General features: G+C 41.5%; 1 long non-coding RNA gene across 3 annotated transcripts in view, besides 1 other annotated feature; it reads right to left on the reverse strand.

Annotated features, from left to right (window-relative positions):
- Positions 1-14,319, reverse strand: part of MSRB3-AS1 (MSRB3 antisense RNA 1) — a 175,556-nt gene that overhangs the window by 61,327 nt on the left and 99,910 nt on the right. Inside the window, exon 4 of one of the 3 annotated variants that reach the window (NR_120433.1) lies at positions 10,541-10,618. The exons of the other annotated variants lie outside the window; for them this stretch is intronic. This is a non-coding gene — a long non-coding RNA (MSRB3 antisense RNA 1). The remainder of the gene's footprint in view (positions 1-10,540; positions 10,619-14,319) is intronic. 3 annotated transcript variants of the gene reach the window in all.
- Positions 8,138-9,337: an enhancer, noted in NCBI's record as "P300/CBP strongly-dependent group 1 enhancer chr12:65930061-65931260 (GRCh37/hg19 assembly coordinates)". NCBI's record gives its function as "activates an origin of replication core promoter dependent on BRD2, BRD4, P300/CBP, MED14 and CDK7 cofactors, with strong dependence on P300/CBP, by STARR-seq in HCT116 cells {active_cell/tissue: HCT116}" and the evidence as "EXISTENCE:reporter gene assay evidence [ECO:0000049][PMID:35650434]".

Genomic DNA, 14,319 nt, shown 5'->3' on the forward strand with positions numbered 1-14,319 from the left:
GGGGTGGGGCCCTGATCCAATAGGATTAGTGTCCTTATAAGAATAGAGAGATCACTCTCTCTAGGCACAAACACACCAAGGAACATAGCTGAGATGATGTCTGTCTGCCAGCCAGGAAGCCCTCACCAAGAACTAAATTTGTCAGCACCTTTATCTAGGACTTCTAGCTTCCAGAACTGTAAGAAAATAAATCTCTGTTGCTTAAGCCGCTGAGTCTATGGTATTTTGTTACGGCAACCCAAGCTAATAAAAATAGCAAGAATAGTTAACATTTATGGAGCACTTATTATGGGCAAGTCATTGTTATAGGTGCTAGTCATAATTGCTTCATATTTATTAAGTGTATTAATGGTAGGCACCATTATCTCCGTGTTTTGTGTGTGTGTGTGTTTTTTATTTGTTTGTTTGTTTTGAGACAGGGTCTTACTCTGTCACCTAGGCTGGAGTGCAGTGGTATGACATCAGCTTACTGCATCCTCCAACTCCTGGGTTCAAGTGATTCTCCCGACTCAGTCACCCCAGTAGCTGGGATTACAGGCGTGCACCATGACAGCTGGCTAATTTTTGTATTTTTAGTAGAAATGAGGCGCCATGTCACCCAGGCTGGTCACGAACTCCTGAGCTCAGGTGATCCACCCTCTTCGGCCTCCCAAAGTGCTGGGATTACAGGCATGAGCGACCGTGTTTGGCCCATTATCTCTATTTTACATTTGAGGAAACTGAGGTTTAGTAATTCACCAGAGGCAATGCAGCTAATGTGTGGTAGAGGTGAAATTCAAACCCAGCAAAGTGCCCCAGAGAACCTTCTCATCATTTACACTGCTGGTCATCGAGATATTCATTGGAAGGTCTCTGTGCTGAGTAGAGCTTCTCACTGAGCAGGGACCCAGGACCTTGGCCAATTCTCTGCCAGTCAACTTATTTAGGCCAGCATCAAAAGGCCTCTTTCTCCCTGCATGTCCCCTGCTGGGTGGCTTGATTTTTCCTCAGAGGGGCTGGAACCCTTCCACAGATATCACTAGAGTCCCAGGACCTTTCCTGCCTTCTTTTTCCCATGAAGAGCGAGCATTATTCAGACACCCCACCCTTGCCTGCACATTGAGATGGGAACTGAGAGTTGTAAAAAGGCTTTGAATAACCACAGAAATAATTTTTTTTGTAATCATTTTGGATCCATTTGCCCATTACCCATTTGAGAAAAACCTTGCAGAAAGCAATTTCCTAATATGGCGCTTTGGATATACAATGTAAACATTTTCTTCCTGGGACAAATAGGCTTGAGATTTGCTAAACTCTCCAGAGACACATTTTTCTTTCTATTTTCTTTTCTGTGATGTGATATGACATTATAGGGTGTTGGGGATGGAGGGGAGTCTTGTGTACTTATGCATTTTCTCATTGATTCTCATGTTATTTCAATTGTACATTATTTTCCCAGAAAAATTGTCATAAACCATTTGGAATGGCCCTGCTTTTAATGGGTGCTAAAGATTTTTCTCTCTAGCTTTGTCATCATTAATAGGCTCTCCAAGAGGTTCATTGTCCCATGGTGAATTGGTGGTGAAACTCCCAAGCTCCTACTCCCTCATTGCGCCACATTCACCCTACAGCGAGTCTTTCTTTCTGGCCCTGGCTTGAATTTAAGCTTCAAGATGGAAAGATCTGGCAAAAATCTGACACTAAATAGCTTTGTCCTGTCACTTAGTTTTAAGTATTCCTCTGTCCAATGAAGTGCAGGTTGACTTGAAGCCAAAAGTTTATCCTGTGCTCCAGGGGTCACCAAACTCCACACCAGATCTCAGAGCAAGCTCCGAAGGCAGAGTCCTTCCATTCAGGCTTTTCCATTCCTCACCAGGGGCCCTCAGGGCCAGTCCTGCAGGATAATCCTTCATGTGGTTTCCAAGATCCCAACCCCCTCTAAAGCCACTCTCCACATGTTTTTCTAAGCCTTTTCTGCAATTTTCTGCTGCTTTTCTTCTGTTATTTCCATCTCTTTTTCTTCCTACTACTTGGTGGAACCACTGTCAGAAATGCGTTCCCCTCTGCTAGGTCTGTCACTGGGTACATGAGCAGTCTCTTACGATGCATTCCTGGAATCTTCTCTGTTGCACTTTGTGCTAAGTGAATGCCAGCAGTCAGCTAGAAACTTAAGTGAATGGCTTAGACTGTAATTCCTAGAGGTGGTGCCTGACATAAATCAAGGCAGATTTGCTAAATAACTTTTTTTTTGTTTTTTGAGATCGAGTCTCGTTCTGTCACCAGGCTGGAGTGAAGTGGCGTGGTCTCGGCTCACTGCAGCCTCTGCCTCCCGGATTCAAGCGATTCCCCTGCCTCAGCCTCCCAAGTAGCTGGGACTACAGGCACACACCACCGTGCCAGGCTAATTTTTTGTATTTTAGTAGAGACAGGGTTTCATCATGTTGACCAGGATGGTCTCAGTCTCCTGACCTTGTGATCCACCCACCTCAGCCTCCCAAAGTGCTGGGATTACAGGCATGAACCACCACACCTGGCTGCTAAATAAATTTTAAAGAAAAGGATGGTCCTTGGGCACATCTTTGGCACCTTTACACAAATGTGTTATTTTCAGAGGAAATGAACAAAAAGACATAGTACAGTGTTTGTTAATATTAATTCTAATAATTCTAATAGCAGCTAGGTATTCAGTAGCTATTAAAGATATATATATATATATATATATGGCTGGATGTGGTGGCTCACAATTGTAGTCCCAGCACTTTGAGGAGCCGAGGTGAGTGGATCACTTGGGGTCAGGAGTTTGAGACCAGTCTGACCAACATGGCAAAACCCTATCTCCACCAAAAATACAAAAATTAGCCAGCTGTGGTGACATGCGCCTGTAATCCCAGCTACTCGGGAGGCTGAGGCAGAAGAATCAGTTGAACCCAGGAGGCAGAGGTTGCAGTGAGCTGAGACCACACCACTGCACTCCAGCCTGGGCGACAGAGTGAGACTTTATCTCAAAAAATAAATAAATAAAAATTAAAAAATATATATACATATGTGTATAATTTCATTTCATATTCTTAATTTAATTCCACAGCAACCCAGCAAAGGAGGTTGTGTAATTAGCACCATTTACAAATGCAGAGAAAGGTTAAGGACCTTTCCAAGATCATAGACCTAGGAAGGTTGTATGGAGAAAGGACACTGAATAACCAAAGATGTTAAGACTTCTCAATCAAATGATGCAGAGCAAAAATTATGAAGTCAAAAGGGGCCTGAATGGCAGAAGAGTTTGAGGGTGAGGCCAGCCAGAAAAGATAGAAGGAATAGGGTAGGAGCTTAGGATGGGGCAGTTGGAAGCATGTAGAGCCCATACTCTTCAACTCCCTCCTACCCCATCTACCACCATATTGAGTCATCTTTGAAGATTGGTGACAACTGTGAAATGGGCCAGAATGAGCTGGTGGGCCACAGTGCCACCTAAGCATTCATGGATGGTATAGAGGGAAAAACCACCATAATTCTCTTGCACTGGGTGACTCCCAGTTCCTACTAGGCCTCTGGTTTCTCTTTCCTCTGAAATGCTAGCTCAGCCCCTTACCCTGGGTTAGCTCAGGCTTTCAGTTCAGCCCTCCCTGCTGAACCTTCTGGTGGGTCATACTGACTTGGCCCTCAACTCATGCCAGAGAGCTGGCCAGGGATCACTCTGTCCACCATCCTATACCAGCTGTTCCTGACCAGCTCTAGCCTCTTTTGAATCATCAAGAGGACCATTAGGTGAGCTTTGTGAGAGTATGAGGGAGTAGTGAGAGCTTCCTGTAAAAATTCAGTAAGAAAGACAGCCTGGATAAGCAAGAAAGAGCTGCCCTAGGAGTACAAGATGATGAGAAAGCCCACATAGGCAGCTTCTTGGTTCCCTAACCAAACAGCCACAGAGGTGGTAGGAGGGCTCAGGTCTCCCAACCTAGCCAGGGACATTTCCCCTATCAGCCTCATCTTGAGAAAAGTTCCTCTTATTTTGCATGGGCACCAAAATAGGAAAGCAAAGGCATTTGCATTTCAAAAATGCAATGTAAGGCAATTCTTAAACAAAAGAAATAAATTTCTATCAATAAAATTAAATTTCTGTCTGCTGGTCCGTTATTGCATCATGAGAAAATAGCTGGATGGATTGTCACTATGTGCAGAGACTATGTTTAGGATGACCTGAGTTACAGCTAGACTATGAAGCATGCACCAAATTCTTCAGGGAGAGGTCAGAAGTCATCCTCTAGAGAATTTGCAGGCCTTGATTTGCAATCAAGCTCTTTTCACAGCAGCAGTTCCATGTAGCTGCGTTCCATGGTGGATAGCCAGGGATTCATTTATTTAACTGCACCAATAAATCCTAAGCAATCCTTAGGGAAGCCACTCACAAATAGTAGAATGTTAGCCACTGGGTGAGGAGGCTGGAGCTGAGAGGGGCTTCCTAGTAGCCCCCAACCACAAAAAATGAGAAACTTTCCAGCTCATCCACTGCCTCAGACTCCTCTTTACTTCTTCTATGGCCATTGGGCTTCAGTGGAAAAACAAAACAAGAGTTGGATGCTTGCTAGACACCCCAACACAAGCCATTTAGGGGTAGGAGGAAGGGAGACTGGGAGAGGAATGTAGGACGTAGAGGTCACATGAAATTATGGCTGCTCCAAGGGGAACACAGTATTCAAGGCATCACGGGAAGTACAGGAGCACAGGCCCTCAGCCAGGATCCCTCTCCTCCCAGCCTCACGGACTCTGATCGGGCAGCCTGGGGGCTAACTGGTCTGCTGGGAGTTGGATAGTCAGTGAAAGCACTCTGCTCTCCTCCCCCAGCCTGCCTCTAGGTAAATGTGTGTATTTAACTAAACCACAACCACAAAGGCTCATGAAATTTTCCTGGAAGCCAATTAAAGCAAGGAGAGTCATAGTAGTAGATAGTATTAAGCCATGTACCAATTCTTTTTGGCTTACAAGTGCCGGAATTGCTTGTTTATACATTAAGAGCAAAAAAAAAAAAAAAAATAGACTGTAGTCTTTTCTCTTAATTGCTGTAATTATACTTGTGCCACCCACAAGAGAGGCCATTGATCTCATTTCTAAAGGGCAATTGTTGTAGCCTGGCTCTTCTGAGAGCTTTACAAAGTTTTTCTCATTTTCTGATTACCACTGGCGTATTGAGCTGCCAGTAGAAATGTATTTTCTCCCTGGTGCATTTCTCCCTCCTCCCCACACTCTCTCTCTCTCTCTCTCTCTTTCTCTCTCTCTCCCTCCCTCCTCCTGTCTCTGCTGCTGCTGGGTAGTTACCAGGAAGAGCTCACTTCCTCCTTCCTCAGGATCAAAAGGGATTGCAATTTCTGTGATCAATTGTGTGTGGTTAGACATTCTCAGAATATCCTGAATGTGGAAGTACTCAAAAGCCCATAATCTGGATAATAGTCGTCTGTGCTGGCCACATCCCTTAGGAAAGGCTCGAGAAACCTGGGTCAAAAAATTTACAAACTTTTTTGGCTCATTCGCATTGTGCGTTGAATTGGGCGAAGCATTTCCTTCGGGCTACCCGATACACAGCAATCTGAAGTATTATTGTGGCCTTCTACGCTTATCCTTGGAAGTCCTGCCTGAGTCCTTTCCCTGTGTAATCGTGAAGGAATGCTGTTCCAAAGACATGGGGTCAGAAGGGTGCAATAAATCAATCCAGATACACCCCTAATGAATGGCAAATTAAACAGCATTTGTTTTAAGTTCATAGGTCCTCTTGGAAGATGCCTTTTTAGTGCAAGCAAAATTCCTGGGTTGCAGGTATGAAAAGCTATGGGGGGTGGGGTGTGGAGGGCTCATAGTCTCTGGGTCGTTTTAGCCACCGTTTTTAAAAGTGCCAAAAATATCCCCAAAGTGAGTTTGCCCAGCTAACTCTGAATGTGCAGTGCTTTCTGCAGCCCTTACCCTAAGACAGAATTGTCTGATTGCTGTGGATTCTGGGGCGACCCAGACCCTTGCTCATTGGGTTTCCCCCTTGCTCATTCAGGTAGTGCTGCTGGGCTGGATAGGTGTTTTTGAGAACCCGCCATCCTCAAGGCTGCAAAGATTGAGCTAAAACAAATCTTCCAGTCACATACAATTCTAGCAGAATCACGGAGACATGGCCTGTGGCATTGAGAAGATTAAATTACCAAGCCCGCTGTGCCCCCTCCCCCAAGTAACTGGAATATACTTGTTAGAGCTGCATCAGAAAGAACAGAATAGCCTTTAGTCTTCCACAGCCCCTAAGCATTTTGGTAATAAATAATAAAAGGTATTTATTACATGTTACAGTGACATTGTGGAATTCAAATGCAGTTAACCATAACATTTTCTTCCTCAAATGTTAAAAAGAAAGAAAAAAGTATTAGGAGTGGGGAGGCAGGACAGCGGGAGCAGTGGCTTTAAAACCTGAGGAATGTGGTAAAGAGAGCCTTGTGTGTTTTTTATAGTCGTAGAATGGGGGTAGAAAGTGGGGAGAAAACATGGGCAGGAAGTCAGGGGATTAGGGCTGCAGGCCTGTCGGTGCCACTGTCTGGCTTTGCTACCTTGGTCAGAAGGACTACCCTTGCTCCATCGCAGCTTCGAAGTTATCATCAGATAAAAGGGTTGAGAGCCTTCCTGTTTTATCAGCTGTTTATTCAGTTCTCTCAAAAGACCTCTGCGTCAGGCTTCCCTGAAGTTCAGTGGTACACTCTTCTGAACCATGCTTCCTTTCAACCAAAAGGGGCCAGGCACAGTCTAGGTAATGGACAAGGGACGAAGAAACAGGCCCTGTGTTTCCCTTGCCTCAATTTACCGTGCTGTGGACTGGACAGAAAAGTCTTCCCTGGACTGACTCCCCACAGAGCTACAGGAAGCATCTGGCGGTAGAGGGTAGTGGCTAAAAGCATAAGCTCAGAGTCAAGTTTCGGCTTGGGTTCTAGCCCCGGTCACCTGTAACCATATCTTCTATTACACTGGGACCTTGAGCAAGTTGTTTAACTCTCTGAGCTACAGAGTCCTTATCTGGAAAATGGTGTATTGTATCTAAAAATGAATGACAGGACCTAGCATAGTCCTTGACACATACACTCTCAATTAATGGTAGCCAAAGAAATGAGCAATAATAAAAATGTTTCCTAGGCCTTAGTTTTATGCTAGTAACTACGGGTAAATGATGGCTGGGAGTAGGGAAGAAGAGTGCCTTATTTATATGTAGGAGCCTCTGGCAAGCGCACATGAGCTGTTCTGGGTGCTGGCTGGGGAGGTACCACAGCACATCTTAGGAGCCATGCCTGCATTTAAGGAAGGACTGCAAAGGCAAGAAGCAGGAATGAGAGACCTCTTGGAAAAAGATGTGGATTTTACATTCATTCATTCATTCATTCATTCATTCATTCATTCATCTAGCACTGAGGAGCTATTGCAGTTGTGGCTTTTGGTTACTTGTTCATGTGTCAGACCTTTGCTAGCAGGATTACAGAGATGAATGGCACCATCCTTGCCCTCAGAGAACTGACAGTCTAAAGTTCTAAAAGCAAACTGGCAGTGACAATAGAAGATGCTAAGTCTGAGGAAGGTAAGCACAGGGAACACGGGAGGTGGGGTGACTGTTCTGATTTGTCCAGGACTATCTTGATTTTAACACTAAAAGCCCACATTCCAGGAAGTCTTTCTGTCCCAAGCAAACAGACAGTTGGTCACCCTAGTGGGAAGAGTCAGAGGAGTGGCAGCACCTGAACTAATCTTGCCAAGTCAGAGAGGGCTTCTTGGCAGAAGGGATGGCCTACAAGGAAAGTAGGAATTAGCCAGGCAAGGATGTTGATGAATTGGAGGTGGAGTGGGTCTTAAGTAGAAAGAACCGCACATGCAAAAACCTAGAAGCAGGCAAGACCATGAGGAAGTGGGGAACCCTGGGGAGAGAAGGTGGAAGGCCTTTCTTTGCAGTGGACAGCCATTGCCCTCCAAATATGTTCCTCTTCTCCTTGATCTCTCCTCTGACTCATGTTGATTGAGAATGTAGATCGGCAAAACTGTGGGAGATGCTGTCTAGGCAACTCTCACATTAGAAGGGAGAAAAGAAGATGAATTTTTCCCAAGGTCCCTTTCAAGTCTTTGATTCTAAACCAAGAATACACCCCATCAGGCCATCCACAAGGGAGGTGTTCACTCTGTGTATAAGATAAATAGCCTACACCTTCCCTATGTATGTCAGCTGCCTTGAAGAGTGACACAAGTCATCACACAGTTGATTTGGCAGCAATGATATGTCCATCATAAATGCACCAGCATGGATGTGTTTGCTGGGCCACCACCAGCTGGCTGAGCCACCGTGGAGATGAAAGTTTAATTATTTTGTTTTTCTAAGTAAAAAAAAACCCTTTCCTGGTGAGGCATCACACCCTTTCCATTGCTCATGAAGACCTAGAGAACTAGCTGGAGTTCGTTTTTTCCCCATTATTCCCTAAATGTTGCTGTAAAGAATGCTCTCTGACGTGACTTGTTTCTGTATTTTACAGAGCCTATTCTGTTAATATGAACAGTATTAAGTCAAGAGGGTACCTGTTTTGCTTTTCAGCACTTCTTTCCCAATGTGAATCACTTTGGGAAAGGTGATTTCTAGATTGTTAATCCTTTAGGTATGTGTTTCATCCTCTAATATCAGGCTGGCATAGACACACTGGGAAAAAAATGAAAATAAAAACTTAATGTCTTTTCTATAGCCTGTCCCAGAGAAGAAAAGAACGCAGGGAGGAAGGAGTCTTGACATCACTTAATAAAGCTTTATGAGTAACTCCTTTACTACCCTAGATAACATTGCTAATGCATATTGCTCAATGAAAGAAAATGTCCCAGGCTATGCTTTACAACAGGCAGAAAACTTTGAGCTGTCTTGCCAATGCTTTATACTAAGTGCCAAATCCTTATTTCTTTCTTAGGCATTTATTGTAATAACATGAATCATGATGCATCACTCTGGTATTCGTGTGGCTGCTCAGTGTTAAGTCCCCAGGACCTCCATGGAGTTGACTTTATTTGGTTTTCCACTTCCGCTTCTGAGTGAGAGCCACATGAACTCAGACGTGAAGGCTCACAGGAGCTCAAGTGGGCGGACCTTTCTGTTGCTGTTTTGGTCTGCCTGTACTCAGCGGTTGTGGTATGTGCAGACCTGAACACTTGAGGGGACATTCAGCTGGAACTACCCCCATTTCCTGTAGTTTCCACTAAAACAAGAGACTTAGGATGATGTTCAGGATTGCTCAGACAGTTGCAAACCTCTGGGGCACTTGGAAGAAATGTGGCTATTAATAGAATTTTTGAGCATTGACGTATATGTTTTCTAACTTCCCATATATAATCCTGAGAGTGGGGCTGGATGTTAAACCCTGGAAGTAGGGAGTTTCCAGAAAACCATTCAGGATATCAGTGTCAGGTTTCTGACTTGATGAAGAGTTTGGATGAGTGGCTTCTAGATACAAAGGTTAATAGTGTCTGTTTCAAAGCCTAAATGGAATGCTGTGCTCATCTCCAACTTTGTGAATGTTCAACTGGCACGGTCAATTTATTCACTTTGAAAGTCTTAACCGTGCTGGTGAACCAGCAGGAGTGCTGTTAGGAATATTTAACATAAGCAAAAAGGAAAGGTAATGAACATTGAGAGCAATTGAAAGGACGATCCTGTGAAAAATATGTGACCTTACCTGAGTGTCTCAGCTGAGTATCAGTCCAGCAGAGCACCAATCACTTGCAGTGGCTGTGGCAAAGACACTGATGGCTTATTCATTGATTTGTACAATAAATATTGTGCCCTCACTACATGCCACTTACTCTGCTAGGCATTGGAGATACAATGCTGGACAAAACCAGACATGCTCCTGTCCTTCCAAACTTAACAATTTGATCTGAGAGACAGATATTAATCAAGTAGTCACATAAAAATACATAAAATGTCAACCTTGACAAGGAATTGGACAAGGTACTATGAAAGGCCTTGACCTAGTTGGGGATATAATGATTGGGCTGAGACTTAAAAGATGAGAAGTAATTAACTAGGATACCACAGGCAGGAAGAGTGCTTCAGGCAGAGGGAACAGCTCGCACATGTGAAGTTGAGTGATTCACCCAGTCATACAATTAATAACTAGTAGAGTCAGAGATGGGTGAAGAGCTCCAGGGGTCTCAGTTAGGAGTCTTACTAGCCCTATCTAATAGAACTTTTTGCAATAATGGAAATGTTCTATAGCTATGCTGTTGGATACAGGTAGCCATTAGTTACATGTGGCTATTAGCTCTTAAACTGTGTTTAGTGTGATGAGGAACTGAAGTTTTATTTAATTTTAATTAATTTAAGTATAAATAGCCAAATGTGGCTACCATATTGGAAAGCACAGATCTATATGAACCAAGTCCTGAACTAGCCCAAGCTACACAGGGCAGAAGGTTACTAAAGAGGAGAGGAAATAATTTTTTTTTTCTGAGATAACGATAAGCACATTGACCTGGGGGCTTCATTCATTCACTCTCACTCAAAAACATAAATTTATTGGGTACTCACCATGTGCCAGGCACTAGGCTAGCCCTGGAGCTTCTCTGATTGGCAAGACCAATCTCCCACTCTTGAGGTATTCAGAGTCTGGTGAGAGCAGAAACACTCATAGTAGTAATAGCAATACATTGTGATTGAATTGGCAGGACTTTGCTTTTTTAGGGTTGCTTACAATGGGAAGAACTGAGGGGTCATTCTTCTCTAATCTCAACCCTATAGGCAAAGGTCATGGTTTCTAAATTCCAACTGCTCCATACTCCAAGGTCTTCAAATAAAGAGGGAGGGCTTTAGTATAACACACTAAACACTTTAAAAAATCTCCCAAATTCAGTATACCAGTATAAAAAAAGAAGTGGATTTGCATTTTCATGTAGGCCTTGCATGCCTCTTCATTTGTAGGGCATCTATTGCTGAGTTTGGGGAAGTTGGGCCCCACCAATTGAAATTCTTTATAAATAGGTCATGAGACTTTTACTCAAGGATCCAGTAAGTGACATAGAATTTTAGTCAGAGCCAAGCTGTATTTTCGTGGGACTTTCAGGCATTGACTTTTGCTTCTCACACAGGCTAAAAAGGGAGCTAATAACTTTTACATATTTTCTAAAAGCACTTTCTCACAAGCAGTGGCTGTTCAAACACTTCAAACACTTAAACCTTCCTGCTATTACACACAGAATGCCAACAGTTATTACATCATTGTAAAAAACACTTCCTGATACTCAATTATACTCATTATGCCTAAATATTTAATTCCTGCCAATACCCAATTTAAATCGTCACTTCAAAACAATTTGTTTCCGATTATTGGGATCTACTAAATTACCTCCTCAAACCTATCACCTGAAAAAACATTAAGTGCCAGGGAGAATAAAAAGACTTTCCCTGTTACGAACTCAGGACACTTGCCCAGGGAGCTTCTCCTTATGGCGCACTGGTTTCTACAGAGTGTTCTGGCTTACAGCTTGTCCCTGCATCTTGGAGACCCAAGGAGGAAGAACCCAGATGTGTGCCCCACTGACCGAGTTTGTCACAACTATGACTGCTCAGCAAAATTAGTGGGTGTGGGTTGTGGAGTAAAAAATAACAGAAGCAGAGGCTTACTCAAAATACACTTAATGAGAACCATCTAGGGGGATGGAAATCCATATTTTTTAAAAATATCTCAAAGGATTCAGAAATGATTGGTTAACAGACTAGAAAATACTATTGTTTTCAATTAGCATATTTTACCCTGTTACATTTATGACATAATTTTCAGTGTGAAGTTTGTCAATGTCTCTTTTTCCTCTGAATTAGACAAGTACCTCAGGACTTCTTAAGACCAAATTGACTCTCCCTCATCTGTATTATTGCTGATAGGGCATTGCATTTCCACCAACAATGCTTACCTAAATTTCTCCATATGTTTCTTTTTTCATCAATGCTTCTTGCACTTCATTCTTTTTTTCTGGGTTAAATTTTGTTCCTGCTAAAATATATCCTTTGGTATTTCTTTCCATGAAGGCCTTAGTAGTAAACATTTTTAGTTTTTTGGAAGTCTGAACATATCTTTATTTTTGTATCATTTAAGAGTGAAACTTTAACAGATTATAAAAAGCTAAAATAATAATCATATCCCATAAGCACAGAGAAGATATTATTCCATTGTCTTCTGGAATCCATTGTTGCTTATGAGAAGTCATCTGTTAATAATCTAATTATCTTTCCTTTAAAGGTAATTTGTCTTTTCTTTCTGGTAATATTTATCTTTATTTTCATGTAGTGTGGTTTCAGTGATATGTGTTTAGGTTCAGATTTGTGTTTAATTATCATTTGCGGATTCCATGTTCTTTTTCAACTTAAGGATTTATAATTTTCTTTAAGTTTGAAAATATTTCTACCATTGTCTAAAAATACCTCTTGCCCACATGTTGGGTTGTTCATTCTATCTCCATATCTTTTTATCTTCTCTTTTATATGCTTAATGTCTTTATCTCTTTGAAAAGTGTTTCCCTGAGGGAAAGTTAGTAAATTAGAGGTAAATGTCAGGAGGTCACTTTGCTGTTTTACTCATATATTCAGGCTCTAAAGTATTTTTAGTGAATATATTTTTCATTACTAGAACCTATATTTGCCATTTAAAAAAAATCTCCCTTTTTTTCAAAGAATTTTTTGCACATTTCTTTCTTTTTCTGTTGAATATTTTTTAAATGCATATTAAAAATCTCTTTCTGATTTCTCAACTATTTCTATTCTTGTGCATTTGCTCAGAGTCTTTCATGGAAGTTTGTTTTCTTATGTGCTTCTGAGCTCATATTCAGGGAGTGCTATTTTTCATAGGGGGCATCTCTTTGAAGAGGTCCAAAGTTTGCTTGCGGACCAGTTTTTATGTTAATTTCTCATTATTGTATTATATAGGTAGCATGAATATGTAACCTGCCATTGAACAGAGTGCTCTTGGGGTTTCTGTTTCTCATAAGTGACTTTCCCCTCTTCTGCAGTGCCACATACCTGACCTGGTGGATAGAGTTTTCCTAGTGTTTTATCAAGACAGAACTTCCCAGCACCTGGATTTAGGCAGAATTTAGGATCTAGCTTTGCAGCACACATGGGGTATGTGCTTTCAACATCAGTCCTGCATAGCTGACACTTCCTTAAGCCCTAGGAGTATTCCAGTTCCAACATGACTATAAGAAATTTTATTTTCAACTTCCATTTTGAGCTCTTTGAGTAATGATTAAAAGCCTAGAATCTATATTCTGACCACTTGGAATTAAAATAAACAGCTCTGCCACTTACTAGCTGTATAACTTTGGGGAAGTTGCTGAATATCTCTATGCCTCAGTTTTCTCAACTATAAAACTATGGTAATAACTTTCTCATGGAGTTGTGGGGCTCAAGTAAGTTAATATAGGCGAAATACTGAGGATGGTGCCTGACACATAGCAAGCATTAAATATGTTTTTGCCATCATTATCTTATTTTCAGCTTGCCTACATATTAAACTTTTTTGTTAATACATTTTATGTATATAGGCATATGTTAACATATATTTTAATAGATATAATTTTGTTAAATATATTTTATTAGGTTATATATGTGTCCTATATATAGGTATATGTTAACACATATTTTAATATACATAATTTTGTTAAATGTATTTTATTATATGTGTGTCATATATTTTCTTTCAAAACTTAAAAAATATGTTTTATATATGGATAGCATAAGATTTTCATTCTGTTTTAGAAATATGGCCTTTCTAAAGTGAGGGCACAGTGGTAACAAGCAGGATATGGGAAGCTTATATTATATTCAGTTGCTATATGCAGGATTTGGGGCCTCTGACTTCTCAATGGTTGAATTCTTTTTTCCTCATTAAAGGCTTGGCTGGGCTCTGCTATCCTTCTCTCCTTCCCATGGCTGTCACTGCTAATCTTCACAAATTCATCTTTATTTTGAAGGTCATGGAACTCCAGAGATGTTTAGATGTATTTGAGCTGGCAGGAGAATTATTTTACTTCATTCATTCCTACATACAAAAGGTTTTTTATTTTCTGTTTTACCATTTTATTTGACCACACCAGCAAGTCTGTTTAACTGAATGTGGTATTTTCACAAGGAATAATGATCTGAGGAAAGGGGGCCTGTTCCCGAAAGTGGGATTGTAGATGCTAGTCTTGGCTCAATTTCTGGGGTTTATTAAAAGAGTGTTTATAAAACCACTCTATTTTTATTTACCAAGAATATTAGTGGGGGAAAGGGGCAAGAAAAAAAATGGCCTGGGACTCAAAATTCTCTGAGGATAA

Source organism: Homo sapiens, chromosome 12, assembly GCF_000001405.40.
Source record: "Homo sapiens chromosome 12, GRCh38.p14 Primary Assembly".
NCBI lineage: Eukaryota > Metazoa > Chordata > Mammalia > Primates > Hominidae > Homo > Homo sapiens.